Source organism: Homo sapiens, chromosome 3, assembly GCF_000001405.40.
Source record: "Homo sapiens chromosome 3, GRCh38.p14 Primary Assembly".
Classification (NCBI taxonomy): Eukaryota; Metazoa; Chordata; class Mammalia; order Primates; family Hominidae; genus Homo; species Homo sapiens.
The window spans coordinates 126522810-126544331 of record NC_000003.12 but is presented as its reverse complement, the minus strand read 5'-3'; the positions used below and the strand labels follow the sequence as shown (position 1 = coordinate 126544331).

The following is a 21522-nucleotide window of genomic DNA, read 5'->3' as shown; positions in this document are numbered from 1 at the left end:
AAAAGTCCCAGCGTTAGGGACTGCATCTGGTGAGGGCCTTCTTGCTGACAGGGGCTCTGGACAGTCCGGAGGTGGTACAGAGCATCACGTGGTGAGGGGGCTGAGTACACTACCTCAGGTCTGATTTACTCTTCTTATAAAGCCACCGGTCCCACTCCCATGGTGACTCATTAATCCATCAACCCATCAATCCAGTAAACTACCAATGGATTAATTGATCCGTGAGGGAAGAGCTCTCATGACCCAGTCACGTCTTAATGGTTGGGTCATCTCTCAAGACTGCCACATTGTGGATTAAATTTCAACATGAGTTTTGGAGGGGACAAATATTCAAACCATAGCACCCAGGGAACGCTGGAAATGGTGCAAGGCCCTGGGCTTTGTATGTCCCTCCAGTGGGGGAAGGGCCCAGGCTGGGGGAGGCCTCATGGGGAAACCAGTGGCAGCTGCAGCCCCTTCCCAGGTCCACTGGAGTTGGCCACCCCATTCCTGCTGGCAGGGCCTCTGGACACAGCCCTGGGGGAGCTCAGAGACAAGTGGCCCAAGACACACCCACACTCACACATTCACACATACACATACACACAATTCCTCTCACACACTCATGCACACATGCACACTCTTACACTCATATACTCACTTATGCACACTCTCACTCATATACTCACACACTCATGCACACTCTCACAGTCACACACGCACAAAGGTGGGAGGCAGCACAAGGCCCAGGGCTTGGCTGAGCTGGTGTGGGCTTCAGTCCTTGGCCCAGGTCAGGGTGAAAGAGTAGATTTTCCCCAAGTTGTCAGTGCCAGAATTTAGCACCTCCTACACAGTGCACTCTCTTCACCTTATGCCCCATGTAGCCCCTCACTCCTATATGCACCACTAGGAGGTACCCAGGCTCTGTGGGCACTCTCATCTGATCTTCTTATGCCACTTGGCAACAGGGAAACAAAGGCTTGGAGACGGAGTGGTTTGAGATCAGACAGCTGCAGTCTCCCAGAGAAAATGGCCCAATGAAGCAGATAAACTCCAAAAAATCAGAAAGTAACAAAATACATTTATTTCAAAACCATGACCGCCCAGCTCACCAAAGTCCCATAAAACCTGTGACCGCATTGCACCAGGGGCTCTGTTGGCATGGAGCCTGAAGACCCAGCGTCTTGCCAGACTGAGACCGAAGGTGGCGCCTGGGTAGGGCCAGCCGCGTGGGAGAGGAGAGGAGACCCGATGGCAGTGGAAGGCAGCTCCCACCTGGCTCCCGGGACGGCCCCATCGTGAGGCCAGCCAAGGGAGGGCTTTCGTCCTTGGCCGCAGCTGTCCTTGCCAGGGTGGGCGAGGTGGGGAGGACACAGGCTCGGGCCACACTGACACCGGTGTCAGCATTATGTTCTGATGCACCATGAACAGGTTCAGGGGCAGGGCTGACCCCCAAAATGGCCTTTAAAAGCCTAAAACCCTGGTTATCAAGTCCTTGCCCATCTACGGGGCCTGGAGAGGTGCCTGTCAGCTGGAGCAAGTGGAGGAAGCAGGCCTCAGGCGACAGGCCGAGGCAGGCACACGCGTGCAGGGCCACCTGAGATGGGCTGCCCCCAAGCCTGGCCAGGTGTGCCCTGCGCCCGCTGGCCCGGCGGCCAGGTGAGTGCACGCAGTGGCTCTTGAAGAGGGGTCCTGGGGCCGGCAGCACCTGCATTCCCCGGGGGTCTTGTCGGAAAGGCACTTGCCCCGCGTGGCCACAGGACCTCCAGGACCGCTAGAGCAGCCGCAGGTAGGAGGGGGCGGAGTAGTTGAAAAGCAGGAAGTCCATCTTGTAGAGGTCGAAGAGGCGCCGCTGGTAGAAGGGGCTGATGTCCCGGAAGAGGCGCGCTGCCAGGTCGCGGGAGGCGGCGGCTCCCCGGGGCCGCGGCGGCCCAGGGAAGCTCAGGTCGGATGCGCCCGCCAGGCCCAGCACGAAGGCCGCGTCCTCCGCCAGCGTCTCGAACTTGCCCACGACGTCGTAGCGGAGGCGACACGGGTGGCAGAGCGCGTGCGCGCGCTCCCAGTGCTCGTTGAAGGGCTCCTCACGCCGCGTGCGCGGGTCCAGCAGGTAGGCCAGGAACTCCGCGAAGCGCACGTCGTGGCCGCGGGCCCGGGCGTCGGGGAGCGCGCGCGGCCGCAGGCGCTGAACGATGCGTGCACCGTAGCGCCTCTGGAAGGCGGCGCTGTAGGGGCGCGCGAGCTTGTTGCGGTAAGCCGATGCCAGGCGCTCGAAGGGCTCCCGCACGAACAGGAAGGCCAAGTAGGCGCGCAGGCGCCGGTTGATCTCGGCGGGGCTGAAGTCGGCCAGTGAGGGCAGGCGGCCAGGCGCGTGCGCCTCTTGCGCGGAGATGGCGCGCGGGTCGCCGCGGGCTTGGCCGCTCAGCGCCAGCAGCACGCGCTTCCAGTTGGTGCAGGCCACCTTGGGCACGTAGCAGTAGAGCAGGCCATGCGCGTCGTCCACCAGCACGTGCCGCAGGTCCTCCGGCTGTAGCAGGCGCTGCCGGCGTGAGTGGCGGCTACAGGCGCTGTTCAGCAGGTCGCGCCGCTGCCGGTGCACCTTCGCCAGGGTCGAGCGCGGGTCCTGTGGGCGACAGGAGACGGGACAGGGGGACGCGTCAGGGCAGCGCGGGCTCCCTGACTCTGGCGCTGCCCCGGCGGGATGCGCCCGGGAATTGGGAGCAGGAGCTGCGCCGGGCACCCAAATTCGAACCCCAGGGCTGTCACTGATCACTGTGTGGTTTAGGGCCCGGGCATCTGTCCTGGGCCGAGATTTGGGAGAAACGGATTCTGACTTTGCTGAGGCTGGGAGAAGGACGCGCTGGGTATGTATGCCGTGGGGCACTCAGAGGAGGAGTGATAAGGAATTGTGGCATCAGAGTGCGCTCCGTGTGAGTACGGGCACACATGGACTCTTCAATGTTTACTAAAAGCAGGAGGCTGCATAAGAAGCAGCGCTGTTTAATTCCACACCCAATTGAAAACTGCAGCCGCTTGTGGGCTGTCGGGCTGCTTTGGCTCAATAATAAATGGGCTGATTCTGTACTTACCAATCAGCACTCTCCTTTGCACCTTCACTCCTTTTATTCCCCCAGCAAATTCTTATCTCAGCGCTGGGACAGGAAGCCTGCCCCTTCTGAGCCTGTCCCTCCTATGAGAAGGAACAACGACTGGCTTTAACCTAGCACCTGCTGCGGGCCAGCAGCCTCACCGCTCTCCGAATTAGGTCCGGAGCCCCTCGCAGCCTCAGCCATGTAGAGACCCAGGCCAGCGCTTCCATGCTTCCAGCTCCCCTTTCTTCAGATCACTCCTGCCCCACCCGGGGTTCTTATCTCCAAGATTAACACCCCTGCCTATGATTTTTTGTGTAAGAGTTCATAAAAGAAAGTGTTTTAACTTCTTAAAATTACATTAAGAGCCTTCAGGATATAATTAAAAAGACAATTAGGAATTGGTGAGGATGTGGAGAAACTGGAGCTTTCACGAGTTGCTGGTGGGAGTGTAAAGGGGTGCCGTTGCTGTGGAAAGCAGTTTGGCAGTTCCTCAAAACCAGTAAACATGTGACTCAGCAATTCCGGTCCTAGGCATATTCTCAAGAGAACTAAAAACGTGCATCATGCAAAAAACTTGTCCATGAAGTTCATAGCACCAATATTCACATTAGCCAGAAAATCCAAGTGTGCACTGCTGAGTGGGCAAATGTATGCGGCCATCCATGCAATGGAATATGACTCAGCCATGAAAGGAATGCGGTGCTGACACATGCTGCCACATGGGCTGACCTGGAGGGCGTTATGCCAAGCGAATAGTACAGTCACAAAAGGACGAGTGCCAAACAGTCCCACTTAGTGAGGTCCCTAGAGCAGTCACATCCAGAGAGACCAAAACTAGAACCTGAGTGAACTGTGGAGGACTGCTGATAGACACTGGGCTGCTGATGGACACTGGGCTGCTGATGGACTGACACTGGGCTGCTTTTGAGGGTGATCACAATGTTTGGAAATTAGACAGCGGTGATAGTTACAAAACCTTATAAAAATGCTGCAAACCAATTGTAGGGTTTGAAAGAGTTGTATGGTATGTGAGTTCTCAGTTAAGAAAAAAGGCTTCAGGTGTTTCCATTTCAGAGGAGGCCAAAGCGGCCTTTGGAGGAACACCAGAGCCAGGGCCTGCTTGGGAGGGTCTGACGCCAGTGGGGTGGGAATGCGTGTGTGTCCTGTGCGTGTGTGGTGCACGCGTGTGGTGTGTGCCTGTGGTGCATGATGTCTCTGTGTGGTGTGTGGTGTGCGTGTGTGTGGCATGCGTGTGTGGCATTTGTGTGTGTGTGTCATGCGTGTGTGGCATTTGTGTGTGTGTGGCATGTGTGGCAGGTGTGGCATGTGTGGCGGGTGTGTGGTGTGTGTGGTGTATGTATGGTGTATGTGTGGTGTGTGTTTGTGTGTGTGTGTGGTGTGGGGTGTGTGTGTGTGATGTGTGTGGTGTGTGTGTGGTATGTGTGTTTGTGGTGTGTGGTGTGGTGTCTGTGGTGTGTGGTGTGTGTGTGCTGTGTGTGTGGTGTGGAGTGTGTGGTGTGGGGTGTGTGTGTGGTGTGGGGGGTGTGTGTGGCATATGTGTGTGGTGTGTGTGTGGTGTCTGTGGTGTATGTGCTGTGTGTATAGTGTGGGGTGTGTGTGGTGTGTGGGGTGTGTGTGTGCTGTGTGTGTGGTGTGGAGTGTGTGGGGTGTGTGTGGTGTGGGGTACATATGTGTGTGTGTGTGCAGTGTGTGTGCGGTGTGTGTGGTGTGTGCATGGTGTGGGGTGTGTGGGGTGTGTGTGGTGTGGGGTACATATGTGTGTGTGTGTGCAGTGTGTGTGGTGTGTTTGTGGTTGTGTGTGTGTCCATGTACGCTCCTGCACACATGTGCACACTATGCTCCTGATGCCTTTCAAACTATCCCACAGCTGTCTAAGATACACTAAGTGGGAAAACCAAAGTGCAGAACAGGGCTTAACATTTATGTTGAAAAAGGGAAAGAAATAAAAAACGTTTCACAAAGGGTGGGTGGAGGGAGACTTATTATTTTAGAGATACGTTCAGACATAGTCACAGAATCCACAAGGCTGGGACTGGCTTCGCAGTCATCCCAGGTGGGAGTAGGTGGTGGGAAGGTGGGGGTTCCTTGAACTATTCTCCCTTCTTCTTGCATATGCTTGAATTTTTCAAAATGAAAAGACAGAGGCAGACAGACATAGGACATACATGCCTGTAGGTGAGATTCTCAAGAAGTTACTGTAAGCACACGGCAAAGCAGTGGATACTACTTACACGCCTAGAGCATGTCTGGAAGGACACCCAGGGATCTGGTGGCCTCCGAGAGGACAGGTGCTGGACAAGGAGACCTACTCTTCACTGTGTCTACCCTTCTGTAGTGTCAAATGCCATGTCATGTGCTTACATTTTTAAAATCTCACCATTTTGAGAAACAGTGAACCCTGAGGACATCATGCTAAGTGAAATAAGACAGTCACTTAGCCACACTCACCATGGGAAGGCTGCCAGGTTCAGCTATGCCATGGGGGTATGGGGACACCTGGGAGACCCTGTTTCCACCGTCAGGACTGACCTTAGAAGCCTAGCTCCACATGGTGCCAGGAGAGGCTGTGCCCCCGGGGCCCACAGCCAAGGTCTGCTTTCAGCTTTTAGATGACCCAACACATTTCTTGTGGCAGGGAATGTTGGCCATCCGGCCACCTGTCAGTCTTCCTCCTTCCTTGCTGGCCGACCCCGGCTGTGTCAGGGCATGAGCCCAGCTTCAGGGAGCCATATCTTCAGCTTCGTGTGTCGTTGCTGAAGCACTGGGTCCGGGGGTTCGGGGGGAATGTGGCCTGGCTCTGCCTGAGGCGATATCAGGGGATTAGCCAGATGACTCCCAGGAAAGACTCCCTTAGGGTGAAAAGTCAGGGGAAACCCTTACCCCACCACTCACTTTCTGCCTGGGATGCCCTCCTGTGAGGTGTCTGCAGCCCTGGCAGTCCTCTTATAGTCAGGAGGCCAGCTCTATGACAGAAGTCAACATCCGGAGGACGATGGTGGGCAGCTGGCTGCTGCTGAACCGTGGGCTGCCAGTCTCCGAGCAGCTCAGGAATGGGCACTAACTCTCCTCATGGCTGGAAGCAGCTTGGGCTGCCACTGCTGTTGCTCATAGGCACATGAATACCCATTTTACAGAAGAGAAAACTGAGACTCAGGGGAAATGAGTTGCCTGAGGTCACACAGCTCTCTTTGGGGAAGCCGGGGCTCCAACTCAGGCCCCTTGGGACTCTAAAGCTGGACCTATGTCCACTGTCCGGGGCTGCACCTACAGCTCCTGTCCTCACCCCCACAGTGTGGCTGCCTGGATTCCTTGCTGGCTCTAGTCCATAGAAGCTCTGTGACCTTTGCAGGGCACTTGCCTCCCCATGCCTGTGTCCTTGTCTGTAAACAGGGACAACGGCCCCACCTTATGGGTTGACGTAATTAGTCCACAGAACTAAAGGGCCTGGCACGTGATCAGCACTTGTTGGCCAGATGGTTTTTACTATGTTATTTCTCCAGCCGCAAGGTGCTAAGCCTCCAGGGAGTTGACACCCAACGGTCACAGGGTCCTCAGGCTGTGAGGGGCCATCTGCCCCTCAGAAGCCGCCAGAGCTAGTGGAACCCAGGGCCCTACTGAGTGCCTGTCCTACCGTCAGCCTGCTGTGTGGCCCAGAGTCAGTCAGTCACACTCTGCGAAGGAAGGCCTCCCTACCTGCTTGTAGGCTTGGGCCAGATGAGCTCCACAGGCCCCTTCCGCTCAGCCCTCAGGATTTGGGGAGCAGCCACCTACCCAACACCACCCTGATCCTTCTCTACACAGCAGTAGGGATACCCCAAGGGTGAAAATCTGATGCTGTCCTTCCTTGCTTAAAACCTTGCATGGCTCCCCGCTACCCTTGCACACCTGCAGGGCCTGCGTGCTGCCCACTTCTCCAGGCTCCCCTTGTGCTCCCTCTCCTGTCCTCCACTCCCCGCCAGGCCTTTGGCACAGCTGTTTCCTCTGCCTGTGGCGCTTGGCCCTTCCTGTCTGCCTATTGACTCTTGCTCTTCACCTCAGCTTCAATGTCCCTACCTTGGAGAGGAGTTGCTCTCCCCCATCTAAACTAGGATCCTCTCAGGAGAGCTCTTGTTGCACCTCATACTCCCCTTTAGAGCAGAATTAGTTAAGTATTAGTGTGGGTGGTGATCAGATGACATCTTCCCCTGCTGGACTGGTGGCTCCACTAGGGGAGGGACCTGGCCAACCTGCTTGCTGCTGGATCTCAGCATCCTGACCACAGCCTGCATGCAGTAGGTGCTCAATATGTGCTGTCCGAATAAGTACTTGTGTGTGTGGGGTGTGTGTGTGTGTGTGTGTGTGTGTGTTTGTGTGTGTGTGTGAGAAAGAGAGAGAGAGAGCCAGAGTGTGGGGTTCTTGGTGGTGGGGTACAGTTGTATGTGTGTATTTGGGGTTGTGTGTGGTCCCTGCAGGCCCCCAGCTGAAGTTAGGTGTGTGGGCCAGCCAGCCCCGCCTGGTCCATCTGTTTGAGAATCACGCCGGGGCTGGGGGTCCCTGCACACCTCCCCACTGCAGCACACACTGAGATTTAGTCTCCCACGAGACTGTAAACTTCCTGAGGGCAGGTACAGGGTCTGTTTTGACTCTTTTTTATCTGCAACACAAAGAACTATGCCTGGCCTCAGATTGTTGATGGATGGGAAGATAGGTGGGTAGAGACTCCAGGTCTCTCATCTTACCCCCAAGATTTGCCCTTGTCACTGCTCTCTGACAAAGCCTGGTTTGGGGAGGATGCCCTTCTGTGCCCCAGTGTGGGGTCCAGTCTCATGCCAGCAGGTCTGCACTGTTGCTGTCAGGCTCCTGGCTGGGATGGAGGGGGGCATGCCTGGGTCGAGGGTCTGTCCACCTACCTGATCCAGGTCATAGAGCTTCTGCAGGGGGCTTCTCTTCTCCCCACCAAGCCAGCTGGAGCCCAGGGCTCTGTTTCCAAATGCTGTGGGCATAAGGAGAGAGATGTCGCCACCATATCAGAGGGACTTGCATGGACCTGGGGGTTTGGCCAACCCATCTAGGCACATTTGACCCACCTCTGGCACTCAATTTCCTTCCCGGATCTTGCCTACCTCCTAGGGGCTTGGTGGAGTGGGGGATGGCAGGGGGTACTAATGGGGCAGAATTACATCAGGGTAGTATCTTGTGTCATTCCTGCTCCCATGTCCTACCCTCCAAAGTTGGAGGGTACTAGGCAAGAGGGGACAAGTGGGAAGGTGATACCCAGCCCACCAACCCTCTAGGAAAGGCCAGATCACCCAAACTCACCCACTGCCATCTGCCCTGGCCTCATGCCCCAACCCTTGTGGGGTTCACCAGGCTGGCTGGCTGCCCAGCACCCTCAGATCCTGTGTATGGGCAGCCAGAAAGGTTTGGGCAACAGTGGAGATGGCACAGTGGGCTGTAGCCTCTCAGTGCCACCTTGCTAGGCTGGGTGACCCACTGTGGATGCCTGTGACAGCAGTGCTTCCCCATCAGGGAATATGCTGCTTCACATGGAAGCAGGTTTAGCTATCTCCAGATGAGAAGAGGGATGCTGTCTGTCTGTCTCCAGCTGAGGACAGTGATGCTGTCTGTCTGTCTCCTGGCTGAGAAAAGTGATGCTGTCCGGCTGTCTCCCGACTGAGGAAAGTGATGCTGTCTGTCTGTCTGTCTCCCGGCTGAGGACAGGGATGCTGTCTGTGTGTCTCCCGGCTGAGGACAGCGATACTGTCTGTGTGTCTCCCGGCTGAGGACAGCGATACTGTCTGTCTGTCTCCCGGCTGAGGACAGGGATGCTGTCTGTCTGTCTCCCGGTTGAGGACAGGGATGCTGTCTGTCTGTCTACCAGCTGGGGACAGCGATGCTGTCTGTGTGTCTCCCGGCTGAGGACAGGGATGCTGTCTGTCTGTCTCCTGGCTGAGGACAGCGATGCTGTCTGTCTTTCTCCAGCTGAGGACAGTGATGCTGTCTGTCTGTCTCCCAGCTGAGGACAGGGATGCTGTCTGTCTACCGGCTGGGGACAGCGATGCTGTCTGTCTGTCTCCCGGCTGGGGACAGGGATGCTGTCTGTCTCCCGGCTGGGGACAGGGATGCTGTCTGTCTGTCTCCAGCTGAGGACAGTGATGCTGTCTATCTGTCTCCCGGCTGGGGACAGGGATGCTGTCTGTCTGTCTCCCGGCTGAGGACAGCGATGCTGTGTGTCTCCTGGCTGAGGACAGGGATGCTGTCTGTCTGTCTCCCGGCTGGGGACAGGGATGCTGGTCTGTCTCCGGCTGGGGACAGGGATGCTGTCTGTCTGTCTCCCGGCTGGGGACAGGGATGCTGGTCTGTCTCCCGGCTGGGGACAGGGATGCTGTCTGTGTGTCTGTCTCCCAGCTGAGGACAGGGATGCTCTCTGTGTATGTCTGTCTCCTGGCTGAGGACAGGGATGCTGTCTGTTTTTCTCCTGGCTGAGGACAGGGATGCTGTCTGTCTGTCTCCTGGGTGGGGACAGGGATGCTGTCTGTCTGTCTGTCTCCCGGCTGAGGACAGCAATGCTGTCTATCTGTCTCCCGGCTGAGGACAGCAATGCTGTCTATCTGTCTCCCGGCTGAGGACAGGGATGCTGTCTGTGTGTCTGTCTCCCAGCTGAGGACAGAGATGCTCTCTGTGTGTGTCTCTCTCCTGGCTGAGGACAGGGATGCTGTCTGTTTTTCTCCTGGCTGAGGACAGGGATGCTGTCTGTTTTTCTGCTAGCTGAGGACAAGGATGCTGTCTGTCTGTCTCCTGGGTGGGGACAGGGATGCTGTCTGTCTGTCTCCCAGATGAGGACAGGGATGCTGTCTGTCTGTCTGTCTGTCTCCTTGCTGCACTGCTCAGTTTTCCTAGAACTATTATAAGTAAAAATCCGTTTACCTATAAATGTATTCCTTTACTCAAAATCTGTTTTAAGGAATATCTTTTTATGCATAGTCAATTAATATTAATATGTTCTCAGTAATATAGCCTATATATGATCATATGCTTCTGGATCCCATTTTCAGAAATATGATTATGCATATTAATAAACTAATAAGGTGTTAGGCGATCTTTGAAAAGATCTCAAAAACTGGCAAGACTTTTGCTAGACTGACCTAGGAGAAAATAGAAAAGACTCAAATTACTAAAAACAGGAAAGAAAGAGGGGATGTTACTACTGACCTTAAAGAAACAAGAAAGGATTACAAGAGAACTCTGAACAATTGTAGCCCAACAAATGAGAAAACATACAAGAAATAGACAAATTCCTAGAAAGACAGAAATTCTTGAAATTGACTCAAGAAGAAATATAAAATCTCAGCAGACCCATAACAAGTCAAGATGTTGAATTAGTAATAAAAAAAAAATCCCACAAACAAAAGCCCAGGATCAGATGGCTTCACTGGTAAATTTTACTAAATGTTTAAAGAATTAACACCAATCTTTCATAAACTCTTTCAAAAAACAGAAGAGGAGAGAACACTTCCCAACTCATTACATAAGGCCAGTATTATCTAGATGACCAAACCAGACAAAGACATCACAAGAAAAGGGAACTACAGAGCCATGTCCCTTATGAATATAAGTGCAAAGTTCTCAAAAAATATGGGCAAACCAAAAATAACATCCTATGAAAAAGTTTATACACCATGACCAAGTAGGATGGATCCCAGGAATGCAAGATTGGCTAAATATACACAAATCAATCAATGTAATACACTGTATTAATAGAATCAAGAAAAAAGCCCACATGCTCATCAATAAATGCAGAAAAAGCATAGGACAAAATCCAATACCCTTCTTCATGACAAAACACACTAAACAGCTTAAGAATAGAAGGAAACTTTGCCAAACTGATAAAGGGCATCAACGAAAAACCCTCAGATAACTTAATAGTGAAAGACTGGAAGCTTTCTCCCTAAGATCAGGAGCAAGGCAAGAGTGCCTGCTTTTGCCAGTTCTATTAATTATACTGGAGGTTTTATCCAGGGTAATTGGGCAGGGAAAATAAATAAAAGGCATCCAGGTTGGAAAGTAATAAGTAAAACTTTGTCTATTCATAGATGACATAACCGTATATATATATAGAAAACCCTAAAGAATTCACAAACTGTAAGAGCTAATAAATGGGTTCAGCAAGGTTGCACGATGCAAGATTAATATACAAAAGTCAATTATATTCTATATACTAGCAATGAATAATCAAACAACATCAAAATTAATAAAGTAATAAAGAAGAAGTTGGTAACAAAGGAAGTATAAGACCTGTCCACTGAAAACCATGAGACATCGTTGAAAGAAATTAAAGACCCAAATGAACGGAAAGACATTTCAGGTTTGTGGATTGGAATACTTAATGTTGTGAAGATGGCAGTACTCCCCAAAGTCATCTACAGATTCTTTGAAATTCCTGTCAAAATCCCAGCTGCCTTTTTCTGCCAAAATTGACAGCTGATCTTTAAATTCTTGTGGAAAGTGAAGGGATTCAGAATATCCAAAAGAATCTCAAAAAAGAACAAAGTTAGAGGATTCACATTTCCTGATACCACAACTTTACTATACAGCCACAATAATCAAGACTGTGTGGTGCTGGCTAGGAGAGACATATAGATGAATGAAATAGCACTGAAAGTTCAGCAACAAACCCTTACATTTGTGGTCAGTTGATTATTGATGAGGGAGCCAAGACAATTCAATGGGGAAAGGACAGTCTACAATAAGTGGTGCTGAGACAGCATGAGATATTCACATGCAAAAGAATGAAGTTGTACCCCATCTTCATACCACATACAAAAACTAACTCAAAATGGATCATAGCCCCAAACATTGAAGTTAAAACTATGAAACTCTTAAGTGAAAACACCGACATAAATCTCCATGACCTTGGATTAGGTGATGATGTATTAGATATGACACCAAAAGCACAAAACAACAAAATTTTAAAAAATAGATAAATTGAACTACATCAATATTAAAAAACATTTGTGCTTCAAAGCACACTATCAAGAAGGTGAAATGACAATCCGTAGTTGGGAGAAAATATTTGCAAATTATCTCTCTGGTAAGGAACTAGTACCCACAACGTATGGAGAACTCTTACAATGGAACAACAAAAGACAACTCAATTTTTTAAATGGGCAAAGAATCTGAATAGACATTTCTCCAAAGATATACCTACAGCAATAAGCACATGAAAAGGTGCGCAACATCACTAGCCATTAGTGAAATAGAAATCAACACCATGAGGATGGTTATTTAAAAAGACAGTAAATAACAAGGATGTGGAGAAATTGGAGCCCTCATATATTGCTGGTGGGGATGTAAAGTGGTGCATCCATGAGGGAAAACAGTTTGGTGGTTTCTTAAAAAGCTAAGCTTAGAATTACCATGCAACCCAGCAATTCCTCTCCTAAGTATGTTCCTAGAACTGAAAACTTGTTCACACAAAAACTTGTTCACAAATGTTCCCATCAGCATTATTCATGATAGCCCCAAAATGGAAACAACCCAAATCCATCAGCTGATGAATGGATAATAAAAATGTGGTATATCCATAACATGGGCTATTAATTGGCCATAAAAGGAATGAAGAATTGGCTCATGCTTCCGTGTGGCTGAACCTTGTAAACGTTATGTTAAGTGAAAGGAGCCAGACATAAAAGGCCAGCTAAGACACGATTCCATTTATGTGAAATGGCTGTCTTAATATGTCCGTAAGAGTTCATAAGAACATTGAATATTCATAAGAAGAATATGTTCAAGAATTCAGGTACATGTGAGAAAAGAAGGATAAATGCTTCTGTGATCCTTGGCCTTCAACCAAATGAAGAGTCTATAAATGTCGCTAAGAAGAATCTATTCACTTGAGACAAACTTCTGGCACGCCAGTAAACTTGGGAAATCTGAGGAACAGGTCTTTTGGCAAACTGACCTAGGGCAGTCATTCCCAAACTTCAGCTTGTGTGGGGCCCATTAAACTCAAGAATCCCGGGCCCCACCTCTAGAGTTTCTGGTCCAGTAGGTTGGGGGGTGGGGCCCAAGAATCTGCATTTCCAGCAGCTCCAGGTGAGGCTGCGGCTGCTGGTCTGGGAGCGTGCTTTGACACCAGCTGCGCCAGCGCAGTGCCTGGCAGGCAGAATATGGTCTGTGCTGAATAAACAGAGGTTCGTGGAAGGAATAGATGGCAGCTGGACGGGCCTTGCACTGGCCTCCAGAACCCTAAAGCCCATTGTCCAGAACCCTGCTGCGTGTAACTGAAGCCCACTGTCCAGGGTCCTGCTGCCCCCTGCCTGCCTCAGGCCCCCTCTGCGCCCAGGCCACATCCTGTAAGGCCCAGGAACAAGGGCCAGACTCCAGTGGCCAGGGCATGCAGAGGAGGCTGAGGAGGTTCAGGGCCACCTGTGTCTCCAGGCCACTGACCAGCCCAGCATTTGACCTTGCGTCTCCAGACAGAGTCAGAGATCTGAACTGCCGGACATGTCCCAGGAACGACACCGTCATCAGAAAAGGAGCTGACAGGAGAGGGCAGCAATGTTGGCTGGTCATGCTGGTGCAGGGAGACCCAGGCTGGGTGTGGCCTGAGTCTAGCAGCAACCATGGGGAGCTCCGCTGGTGCCACACCAGGCAGGGCAGGGCCAGGCAACCCATGAGAGGAGGCCAGGCCTTCTCGCCGTGTTGCAGATGAGACGTGTCCCTTTCCTGGGAACTGTGGCTGGGGACTGAGGAAGAACTGGTGCTCAGCAGCCTGTGTTCTGTGGGCAGGGGGTGGAGGGGCAGTTGCAGTGACTGAGAAGCCGACCCAGGCCTGTCTCCGCCCCAGGGCCCTGCTACTCGGAGGCTCCCAGCCTTCCGGAAACGCCAGCCCTTGCATAAGGCCTCTCATTTCCTGGCCAGACCACAGCCTGCTGGAAAGTGGGTACCATAACAGCCCCCAGGGGCCAGTGGGTAGAAGGGAAAAGGGAGCAGGTACCAGAGAGAGGCTCAGAATAGCTGTGGCCAGTGATTACAGGGCTGGGCCGCCTCCATCCAGCCCCACCCTGCCTGCCACCCTGCCCCGAGGAGCCTGGGCCCTGCAGACGGGCAGGCTGCCATGGAGGGACAGATGGGCACAGGAGGTCAGAAGGGGGGTATCTTGAGGATCCTTGGGTCCAATCCTGACTTGGCCAGCTGGGGGCTGGCCCCAAACAGGGCCACACTGGGGCATCCACCCCCTCCACCCCCATCATCCCAAACTCCCTTGTCTGTGTCCTCTGTACCCCCGTCCCTCCACTGGGCCCTAGGTCCCAGGCTCCCTGCCACCCCCTGCCAAGGGGACAGAGGAGCAGACAGAACAGGGAGAGCCAGGCAGTGTAGCCCAGGAGGGCCCATCCCAGAGCAGCACAGGGAAAGCCACGCGGTGACTGCTTAGAAAAAGGAAACAAAACCAGCAGGAGGTTAGGGAGACAGGGGAGAGAAGGGGGACAGGATGATGGGAGGGGAGGAGGGATGGGAGGAGTGCCAAAAACAATGACAGAGACAGGGAGACAGTGATGGACGACAGGGCCCGAGGCTGGGAGAAAGAGAAGGAAGAGACAGAAGGAGACAAAGCATGGTGGGGACTGCAGGCCCCAGCACAGTGCCGGGTGCTTAGTGCACACTGACATGCTTACCCCTCTCATGTAGAAACTATCTTTATCCCACTTGACAGAGGGGGAAACTGAGGCAAAGAAACTTGCCCGAGGCCTCACAGCTTCCTTGCTGTGCCAGAAACAGAATTTGACCCCAGGCCACCGGTGCCAGCATCTGCACCCTTAACACCCATGCTGCCCTGCCTCTGGGTGCCCCCTTGTCCTGACACCTGTCCCCCCTTGCGGCATCCGTAGGCAAGTGGGCCCCATTTCACTGACCCATGAGGAAATACCAGCCCAGGGAAGGAGAGCAGAGAGAGCTGCTCAAGGCCATGCGATTGCTGCACACAGGACACCCGCACACGTCATGTTGCAAGGCCTCCTCTGCCAATCAAGATACCGGGTGAAACACCACACTAGAAACCTACAGCAGAAGCACGACCATCCTCCTCTGCACACCCACCTCAGCCAAAGCAGGGCTCGCGCCCTGTGCAGGGTGAGGGCACAGCCATCATGTAGGGGGATGCTGTTTGCAGACTCCCTAGTCCAGCAAGCAGAGATGATGACACTCGGCTTCTGGTTAATAAGTTCCAGCAGGTTACAGTGTTGCAAGAGGAGATAAGCAGGGCAGCCAGGCCCCAGCAAGCTCCTGCCAGCAGGCATAGGTTCCCACGTGGCCTCCGAGGGCCTCTGTCCTGCCCCATTCCTTCCCCTAGGGGCTTTCTGGGGTGACCTGCATGTCTCAGAGTCAGGGACATTCCTTCTGGGGATCAGGCCCAAGGGAAGGACACATTGGACAAGCCCTTCATGTATTATTATAAGCAATTCTGTTTAGGGGAGAGAACTAGAGATCTCTCCACGTGTATTTAGTTCAAACTCCATTTGCTGAACTCCACAGGCCATCTAGAATGGAACCCCAGTCTGCCCAGATCCCCCTTGAGCACAGTCCTGTCGGCTGTGCCTCCAGAACCCTCCGGACCCCACTTCCACCTTCCCTGCCCATGGCCAGCCCCGGGTAGGCCCCAGGGCTCTCCCTGGAACAATTACCAAGACTGGAAGGAGACACCTCACCTATCTCCTATTTCTCCTCGCCCCACCTTGGTGATCTCTAAACCCACAGGGCTTCTCACTCCTTGCAGCAATCCCTGGTTCCCCCCAAGGCCCACCAGTGCACTACCACCCTTCCTGGTTCACTGCTCAGCTCCAGCCACGGCACTCTTTATTGCTGAAATCTTTTGAGTTCTGTGTAGGTTGATCACTCTGGAAGGTCAGATCTACATGGAAGGGGACTTTTTGCTTTTCTGTAACCCCTGCAACCTTGCCCAGTGCCAGTGACTATTTATTTAAAGACTGATGCCCTCTGACAGCCATAGGAAGAGCACCCCAGCCCCTAGCATCCCATTCAAGACTATTCATGACTGAGCCCCAACTTAGAGTATCTTCCTGCCTTCCATCCCACCATTCTCTCTCAAGGACCCAGAGCCCCACCCACAGCACATCCATTCACACCCCAGGCCATTTCACTCCTCCATGCTTTTCTCTGTGCCATTCCTTCTGCTTGCAGTTTCCTCTCCTCCTTTTCCTACCTGTTAAACTCCTATGCAGCTTTCAAAGCCCAACACAAATGCCCCTGCCCTGTAGAATGGAAAGAAAAAGGATTTGGGGTTTCAGCTGGGATTTAAATCCTGGCCCCATACTTCCTGACTTGAGCAAGTAACTTCCTCTCTCTTGATCTTTTCTTTTCTGCAAAATAGGATTGCCAATTCCTGTTCTGCAGAGCCACCCACCTGCCAGCTTGCCTCTTCTCACGGTACTTTCTGGAGGTCCTCTGAACTCGGGACACTCCAGCAGTACCTGAAGATGGACAGCAGCATGGGGAGCATCTACCAATTTGGCTCCAGCAGCCACTTCCCCTCCCTTTGCCCACCCACCAGAGGAGGATGCCTGCCAGGCCTTCAGCCCATGTGATTCCGATAGGCTCCCCTACGCCTCCACCACCTGCTGGGATAGGCATGTGGCCTAGGCCTGTCCAATCACAGCCTCCCAGCCCTTCCTGCCACCTGACTGGCTCAGAGACGGGCACTTGAGACCCAGACCGGGCCAATGGATGCCTCCTTGGGACTTTGGCTGGAATCAGTGGCAAAGGAACCCTCTCTAGCTTTGGGTTGGAGTTGCTGAACTGGTGCAGCTGAGAGTGAGGCTATGGCAGAGAAAAGCTAAACCACAGCTGGAGGTGTGATCTGAACCCCAAGATCTATGCCTGTCCGAGGCAGAGGCACCTGGCCTTTTCAGTCACAGGCACAGACCCACTCCCTCCCAGCTGAAGGGAGTCTGAATTGGGTTGGGTTTGTCCTCGCCGAGGCTACCACTGTGTGCCATTGGGTGGCCCACAGTCTTAGCTTCCTTGCCTGCCTAGGGGTGAGCAGGGGCTGGGATGGGATGCAGAGGCCCACCTGGCTCCAAGAGGAACACCTGTGACTCCAAACACTGGGACAGATGCTCAGCCCTGCAGCCGCGGGAGTGGAATAGGGGAAGGGGGCTGGTGCCAACACTGCTCCCGCCGGTGTCTCAGAGGCAGAAGACATAGAGCTGAGATCTTGGGTTTTCATATTAAAAATGTAAGCTCCTCGAGGCAGGGGTATTTCTAAGTTTTGTTCCCCACTGTCTCCCAGTACCTGCACGAGCAGACAACCAACAGGTCCGTGGTCCGTGGTGTGCCAGCCACGGGAAGCATGGTCACCATGCCCAGGCAAAAACACAGAGGGAGCCAAGGGGGCCGCAGGAGACCCAGGGGTCTGCCATTGGGAGCTGCCGCTGGGCACTGGGGATGAGGGTGGGGTGATGAGGGCAGCAGTGCTCTGGGCAGCTGCCCCACCTTCCTGGAATCTCCTCCTCCCTGGGACCCTAAGCAGTAGGCCAGTGCAGGTGGTGGAGCCCTGGGGCTGAGGCTGTGGCTGTGGAGGGGCTGCCGCAGACCTCCCCCTACTAGAATGTCTCTGAGCTCCCTGGGGTAGCAAGAGCCCCAGGCCTGAGCCAGTAGCCCTTCAGTGGCCCCTTGCCCAACTTACGGCAGCACCTCTGGCTCTGGAGAAGGAGGGGACAGTGCTGGGCCTCTTGCTCTGGAGAAGGAGGGGACAGTGCTGGGCCTGCCCTCCTGGGAGAAGGGGCTGAAATCCCTCCTGAGTTCTGGAGCCCTCATCCCCAGGCCAGAAGCCCTCACAGGGCACAGACCACATCCCTTCCAACTCAGGCATGGCTGCAGAGACACTGCAGGCCCTCGTGAGGCCATTTCCAGAGGCCAAGGGCAGGGGATGCCCCTCCAGCAGGACTAGCCTGGCAGGAAAAGGCCTTTCCCAGCTGAGTGCCCTCCCTGTGTGCCACCTGCAGGCCCACAAGCATAGTCTCAGCCAAAGCTTCAGCTCAGGGCTTGGGAGAGAGAAAAGCCAGTGTGAGAGGCTGGATAGGTTGGTCTGATTAACTCTTGCTCGCCCAAGGTCACTCACAAAGCTGTGATGGCTGGAGACAGGCCATGGGAGAGGTACAAGAGCGCTTGACAGAAACAGAGAGAGATGCTGAGATGCTGGGTGAGGTCATGGCCAAGAGCAGGACAGGCCAGGTGGAGAGCCCAGCCTGCGCAGAGGCTGGGAAGGGAGGTTCGGAGCCGTCCTCCTAACACCTGCTGTCTCTTCCCAGGCTCTGCAGGAGAGGGAGGGAGGTCAGAAGGAACAAAGCCCAGAAGGTGACTAGTACCTTGGTTTGTTTCTCATCCCTCAAACCTGGGTAGAGTAGGTGACAGGAGAGAGGTGTCCCACGGAGACATGGGGACGCAGACACTCCATGCAGTCACTCAAAGATGTATGCTCCTTTGCAGACACTCCCCGGGACCCAGGCACTCAGGTGTCCTCTAACATCCCACGCTGAGCCCTGAGGGGCCAGTAGCCACCAAGTTCTGCCCTGTCTTAGTACTGGGTAAACATCTGTCTACTGAATGACTCGGTGGACAGAGGCTGTGGCAGCCACAGACACTGAGTCCACACCCCAGACTGCCAGGAGATTGTCTGCTCAACACCACCAGACAGCTCACAGAAGGGGTTGTGGGGGTGCTGGAAAGAGACACCCCAGCCCTATCCCATGGGCTTGGGGAGGCATCCAGGTCTGACCTGCTGTGTCTGGACACACAAGGGGCAAGGGGCAGTGTGAGGGTCAGGGGGAGTGGGCAGAGGCCTCCCCAGGCCCTGATATCCTCAAGTCTTGGGCCACTCCCACCCCCACTGCCCAACATCCCCGCCCACCCTGGACCTAGTTACTTACTCCCTGGGACTGTGTCTGCCAGGTTCCAAGGGTGGGGCCCAGGATTCTCAGAGCCCACACTGGGGGTGGGGAGGCGGACTGAGTCGTCCCACCCAGCACGCATACCACATACAAGGAAAGGCAAACAGCCCTGAGGTCAGGAGACCCGGGCGCTGGCTGGGCCCCTCCAGTCCCAAGTAGATTGTATAGCCAGCACGTTGCCACCACACCTGTCTCCCCACTCTCTGGCCCGCTTCAGATTGTGTGAAATGGGTTGATGGGAGGCTTCACATGAGCTGAGGAGAGACTCAGAGCAAAGACTCAGCACCGGTGGAGCCCAGGGCACTCAGCTCTGCGGAGTCATGACTAACTGCCTCAGTTTCCCCAGCCAGACCACGAGTGGGTGCACAGGAGTCCCAAGCCCTACCCAGTGTGGATTTCAGGGTGGAGCAGGGAGTGGCACCCACTGCACAGTAGGACAACCAAGGGACCGGACCGAGTGGCCCAAGCTTCCCCTCCTATGCGCATGCGCCCAGCAGCGCTCATGTCCAGGGGCCGTGGGGTGCGCAGGGGAAGGGGGTGAAGGTAAGGGAGATGGCCTTCCCGGATTGGCCAATTGTCCTCTACCCCCCACAACTGACCCCGGTCTCCAGGCACCGGCTGTGGGACTCAAAACAGTCACCGCTCTGGGAGTGGGGAGGTAACTCCGGAGGAGGAGCAAGAGCCTTTGCTCGCGGGGGCGTCTAGAGCCTTTCTGTGCCTCACCAGCGCCCCTGCCCGCCACCCCTAGCCCCAGCCAGGAAGGAGACAACAGGTGTCCCCCGCGCTGTCGAGGGGTCAGGCCGCGGTGGAAAGCGCGAGGAGCCAGGTTTGGTTGGGGGTGCGCGGCTCGGCCGGCGGGCACTCACCCGGGCGCAGGGAGCGGGGCGCGGCGCATAGGAGCAGGAGCGCGGCGCCCAGACAGGCGGCCGCCAGCACGCGCCGCCGGCAGCAGCGCCTCCCCATGCTGTGCCGGGCGCGCGGCGGAGGACAGTCCGCTGGATACGGCTGGGGGCGGAGTTGCACTGGCCCAGGACCCGGCCCCGGCAGCGCAGCGCCTACCAAGACGCGCGGCGCGGCGCAGGGCAGGGGAGCACGGCAGCTGGACCCCAGCCCCACCAGCCCCTGCGAGTCGCTGGGGACTGAGGAGGCGGGACACGGTGGGGCCGCAAGCCCGCTCCTCTTTTCGTGCCCCCACCCTCACCCAATGGAATGGGGCCGAAGTCCAGGGCGCTAGGGCGGAGACTGATTGGGGAAGCCCCTCGCCTCTGGGCCCCGCCCCTAGGGTTTGCCCAGGGGTGCCATTATCCACCCAAGGCCAAGAGGCATTGTCGCGGTGGCGTGCCCCACCCCGGGCGGTGTCCCCTTGCCTTTTTGCTGCCTTAGATGCCAGGGGCCCAAGGGCTGATCTGGGATGAACCAAGGAGCCTAGTAGAGCGTTGCCCTGTCCATGGCTCTCCGGGACCCCCGCCCTCAGTAAGAGGCCTAAGAGTGTCCCTCCCTCCCCGACCCAAGGCTACCCTGCAGCCTTGCTTTCCTCCAGGGTCTCCAGGTCCTGCCTGAATCTAGCTCATGCAGGTGGCACTAGCCTTTGCACAGAGAGGTAGGGTCTCAGCTTACATCCCCCGGGGAATGGAGCTTGTGCCTCATCGTGTCACCCACAACTTCTCTGGGCACCACGTGAGCTCTGAGGACTTGCCAGGGACTGTGTGTGTGTGTGTGTGTGTGTGTGTGTGTGTGTGTGTTGGGGGGTGGAGGGGGCGAGGTGAGAGTAAAGTCCAGCCTTTGAAAGACACACACATCCAGCTAGCCCTGTGGGCAGGAGCCCACGTCTAACCGCAGGGTCTTGCTGCCCAGAAGTCAGGCTAGCAGGGAACGGGAGGGTGCAGCTGGCACTGGGTGCGCGGATGAGTGCGTTGGAAACAACATTTAGCAGTGTGAGTGCATGGGATAGGGTACTACATTACACTGTAGGTTTTTTTTGGAGTTTTTTGTATAAATGTAAGGGACACAAGTGCAGGTTTGTTACATGGAGATATGCAGTGGTGAGGTCTGGGCTTTCCGTGTAACCATCACCTAAATAATGTCCATTGTACCCATTAAGTAATTCCTCATCCCTCCCACCTCGCTCACTCTCCTACCCTTCCAAGTCTCCAGTGTCTATTATTCCACACTCGAAGCTCCAGTTGTTAAACTGTTCTTGAAAAATGTGGTGACTCCAAACCCACCTGGTGCCGCTTACTGCTGTGGGAGATTAGGAAATTAACTGCACCTCTCTGTTTCCCATTTTCCTGTACGGGGGGATAATCCTAAACCTCAGTGCTGTGAAGATTAAATGAGATACAGGAAATGTTTGCAACAGTGTCTGGCACTCAGTGAGTGCCAGGTAAGTATTTGATATTAGTAATTAATTTGTTTATGGTTACTGCCTGTTTCTGGCAAGTGGCTGGTTTCTGTTAAAGTGGTGAAATAAAAATTTCTCCCTACTA

At 54.4% G+C, this 21522-nt stretch overlaps 2 protein-coding genes across 2 annotated transcripts in view, besides 8 other annotated features; one reads left to right on the top strand and one right to left on the bottom strand.

Moving 5' to 3' along the window:
* Positions 1-17333, top strand: part of C3orf22 (chromosome 3 open reading frame 22) — a 31934-nt gene extending 14601 nt beyond the window's left edge. Inside the window, exons 5-6 of the transcript NR_130715.2 lie at positions 14960-15200; positions 16459-17333. The gene's annotated coding sequence lies outside the window, so the exon portion shown is untranslated. The remainder of the gene's footprint in view (positions 1-14959; positions 15201-16458) is intronic.
* Positions 1041-20177, bottom strand: CHST13 (carbohydrate sulfotransferase 13). Its single transcript, NM_152889.3, has 3 exons — positions 19903-20177; positions 7979-8061; positions 1041-2599 (listed from the first exon to the last, which is right to left on the bottom strand). Exons 1-3 carry the CDS (start codon positions 19997-19999, stop codon positions 1754-1756), a joined length of 1026 nt encoding a protein of 341 aa, NP_690849.1. The 5' UTR covers positions 20000-20177; the 3' UTR covers positions 1041-1753.
* Positions 4213-4387: a silencer, noted in NCBI's record as "fragment chr3:126258788-126258962 (GRCh37/hg19 assembly coordinates)". NCBI's record gives its function as "represses an EF-1alpha promoter that drives an FKBP-Casp9 reporter gene in an ReSE screen in HepG2 liver carcinoma cells {active_cell/tissue: HepG2}" and the evidence as "EXISTENCE:reporter gene assay evidence [ECO:0000049][PMID:32094911]".
* Positions 13719-13768: an enhancer, noted in NCBI's record as "active region_20439". NCBI's record gives its function as "activates an Ori minimal core promoter by ATAC-STARR-seq in GM12878 lymphoblastoid cells {active_cell/tissue: GM12878}" and the evidence as "EXISTENCE:reporter gene assay evidence [ECO:0000049][PMID:35858748]".
* Positions 13753-14741: an enhancer, noted in NCBI's record as "H3K4me1 hESC enhancer chr3:126248434-126249422 (GRCh37/hg19 assembly coordinates)". NCBI's record gives its function as "activates a minimal SCP1, AML or CMV promoter by ChIP-STARR-seq in naive and primed H9 embryonic stem cells {active_cell/tissue: H9 hESC(naive and primed)}" and the evidence as "EXISTENCE:reporter gene assay evidence [ECO:0000049][PMID:30033119]".
* Positions 13779-13898: an enhancer, noted in NCBI's record as "active region_20438". NCBI's record gives its function as "activates an Ori minimal core promoter by ATAC-STARR-seq in GM12878 lymphoblastoid cells {active_cell/tissue: GM12878}" and the evidence as "EXISTENCE:reporter gene assay evidence [ECO:0000049][PMID:35858748]".
* Positions 18790-19290: an enhancer, noted in NCBI's record as "H3K4me1 hESC enhancer chr3:126243885-126244385 (GRCh37/hg19 assembly coordinates)". NCBI's record gives its function as "activates a minimal SCP1, AML or CMV promoter by ChIP-STARR-seq in primed H9 embryonic stem cells {active_cell/tissue: H9 hESC(primed)}" and the evidence as "EXISTENCE:reporter gene assay evidence [ECO:0000049][PMID:30033119]".
* Positions 19291-19791: an enhancer, noted in NCBI's record as "H3K4me1 hESC enhancer chr3:126243384-126243884 (GRCh37/hg19 assembly coordinates)". NCBI's record gives its function as "activates a minimal SCP1, AML or CMV promoter by ChIP-STARR-seq in primed H9 embryonic stem cells {active_cell/tissue: H9 hESC(primed)}" and the evidence as "EXISTENCE:reporter gene assay evidence [ECO:0000049][PMID:30033119]".
* Positions 19852-20352: an enhancer, noted in NCBI's record as "H3K4me1 hESC enhancer chr3:126242823-126243323 (GRCh37/hg19 assembly coordinates)". NCBI's record gives its function as "activates a minimal SCP1, AML or CMV promoter by ChIP-STARR-seq in naive H9 embryonic stem cells {active_cell/tissue: H9 hESC(naive)}" and the evidence as "EXISTENCE:reporter gene assay evidence [ECO:0000049][PMID:30033119]".
* Positions 20353-20853: an enhancer, noted in NCBI's record as "H3K4me1 hESC enhancer chr3:126242322-126242822 (GRCh37/hg19 assembly coordinates)". NCBI's record gives its function as "activates a minimal SCP1, AML or CMV promoter by ChIP-STARR-seq in naive H9 embryonic stem cells {active_cell/tissue: H9 hESC(naive)}" and the evidence as "EXISTENCE:reporter gene assay evidence [ECO:0000049][PMID:30033119]".

What these genes read in the sequence shown, in the direction of transcription:
- CHST13 (NM_152889.3), bottom strand. Translation starts at nt 19,999, where the DNA reads ATGGGGAGGCGCTGCTGCCGGCGGCGCGTGCTGGCGGCCGCCTGTCTG. An exon ending in GCCCCGCTCCCTGCGCCCGG is followed by an intron (nt 8,062 to 19,902) that starts GTGAGTGCCCGC and finishes TTATGCCCACAG; the next exon opens with CATTTGGAAACAGAGCCCTG. An exon ending in AGCTCTATGACCTGGATCAG is followed by an intron (nt 2,600 to 7,978) that starts GTAGGTGGACAG and finishes TGTCGCCCACAG; the next exon opens with GACCCGCGCTCGACCCTGGC.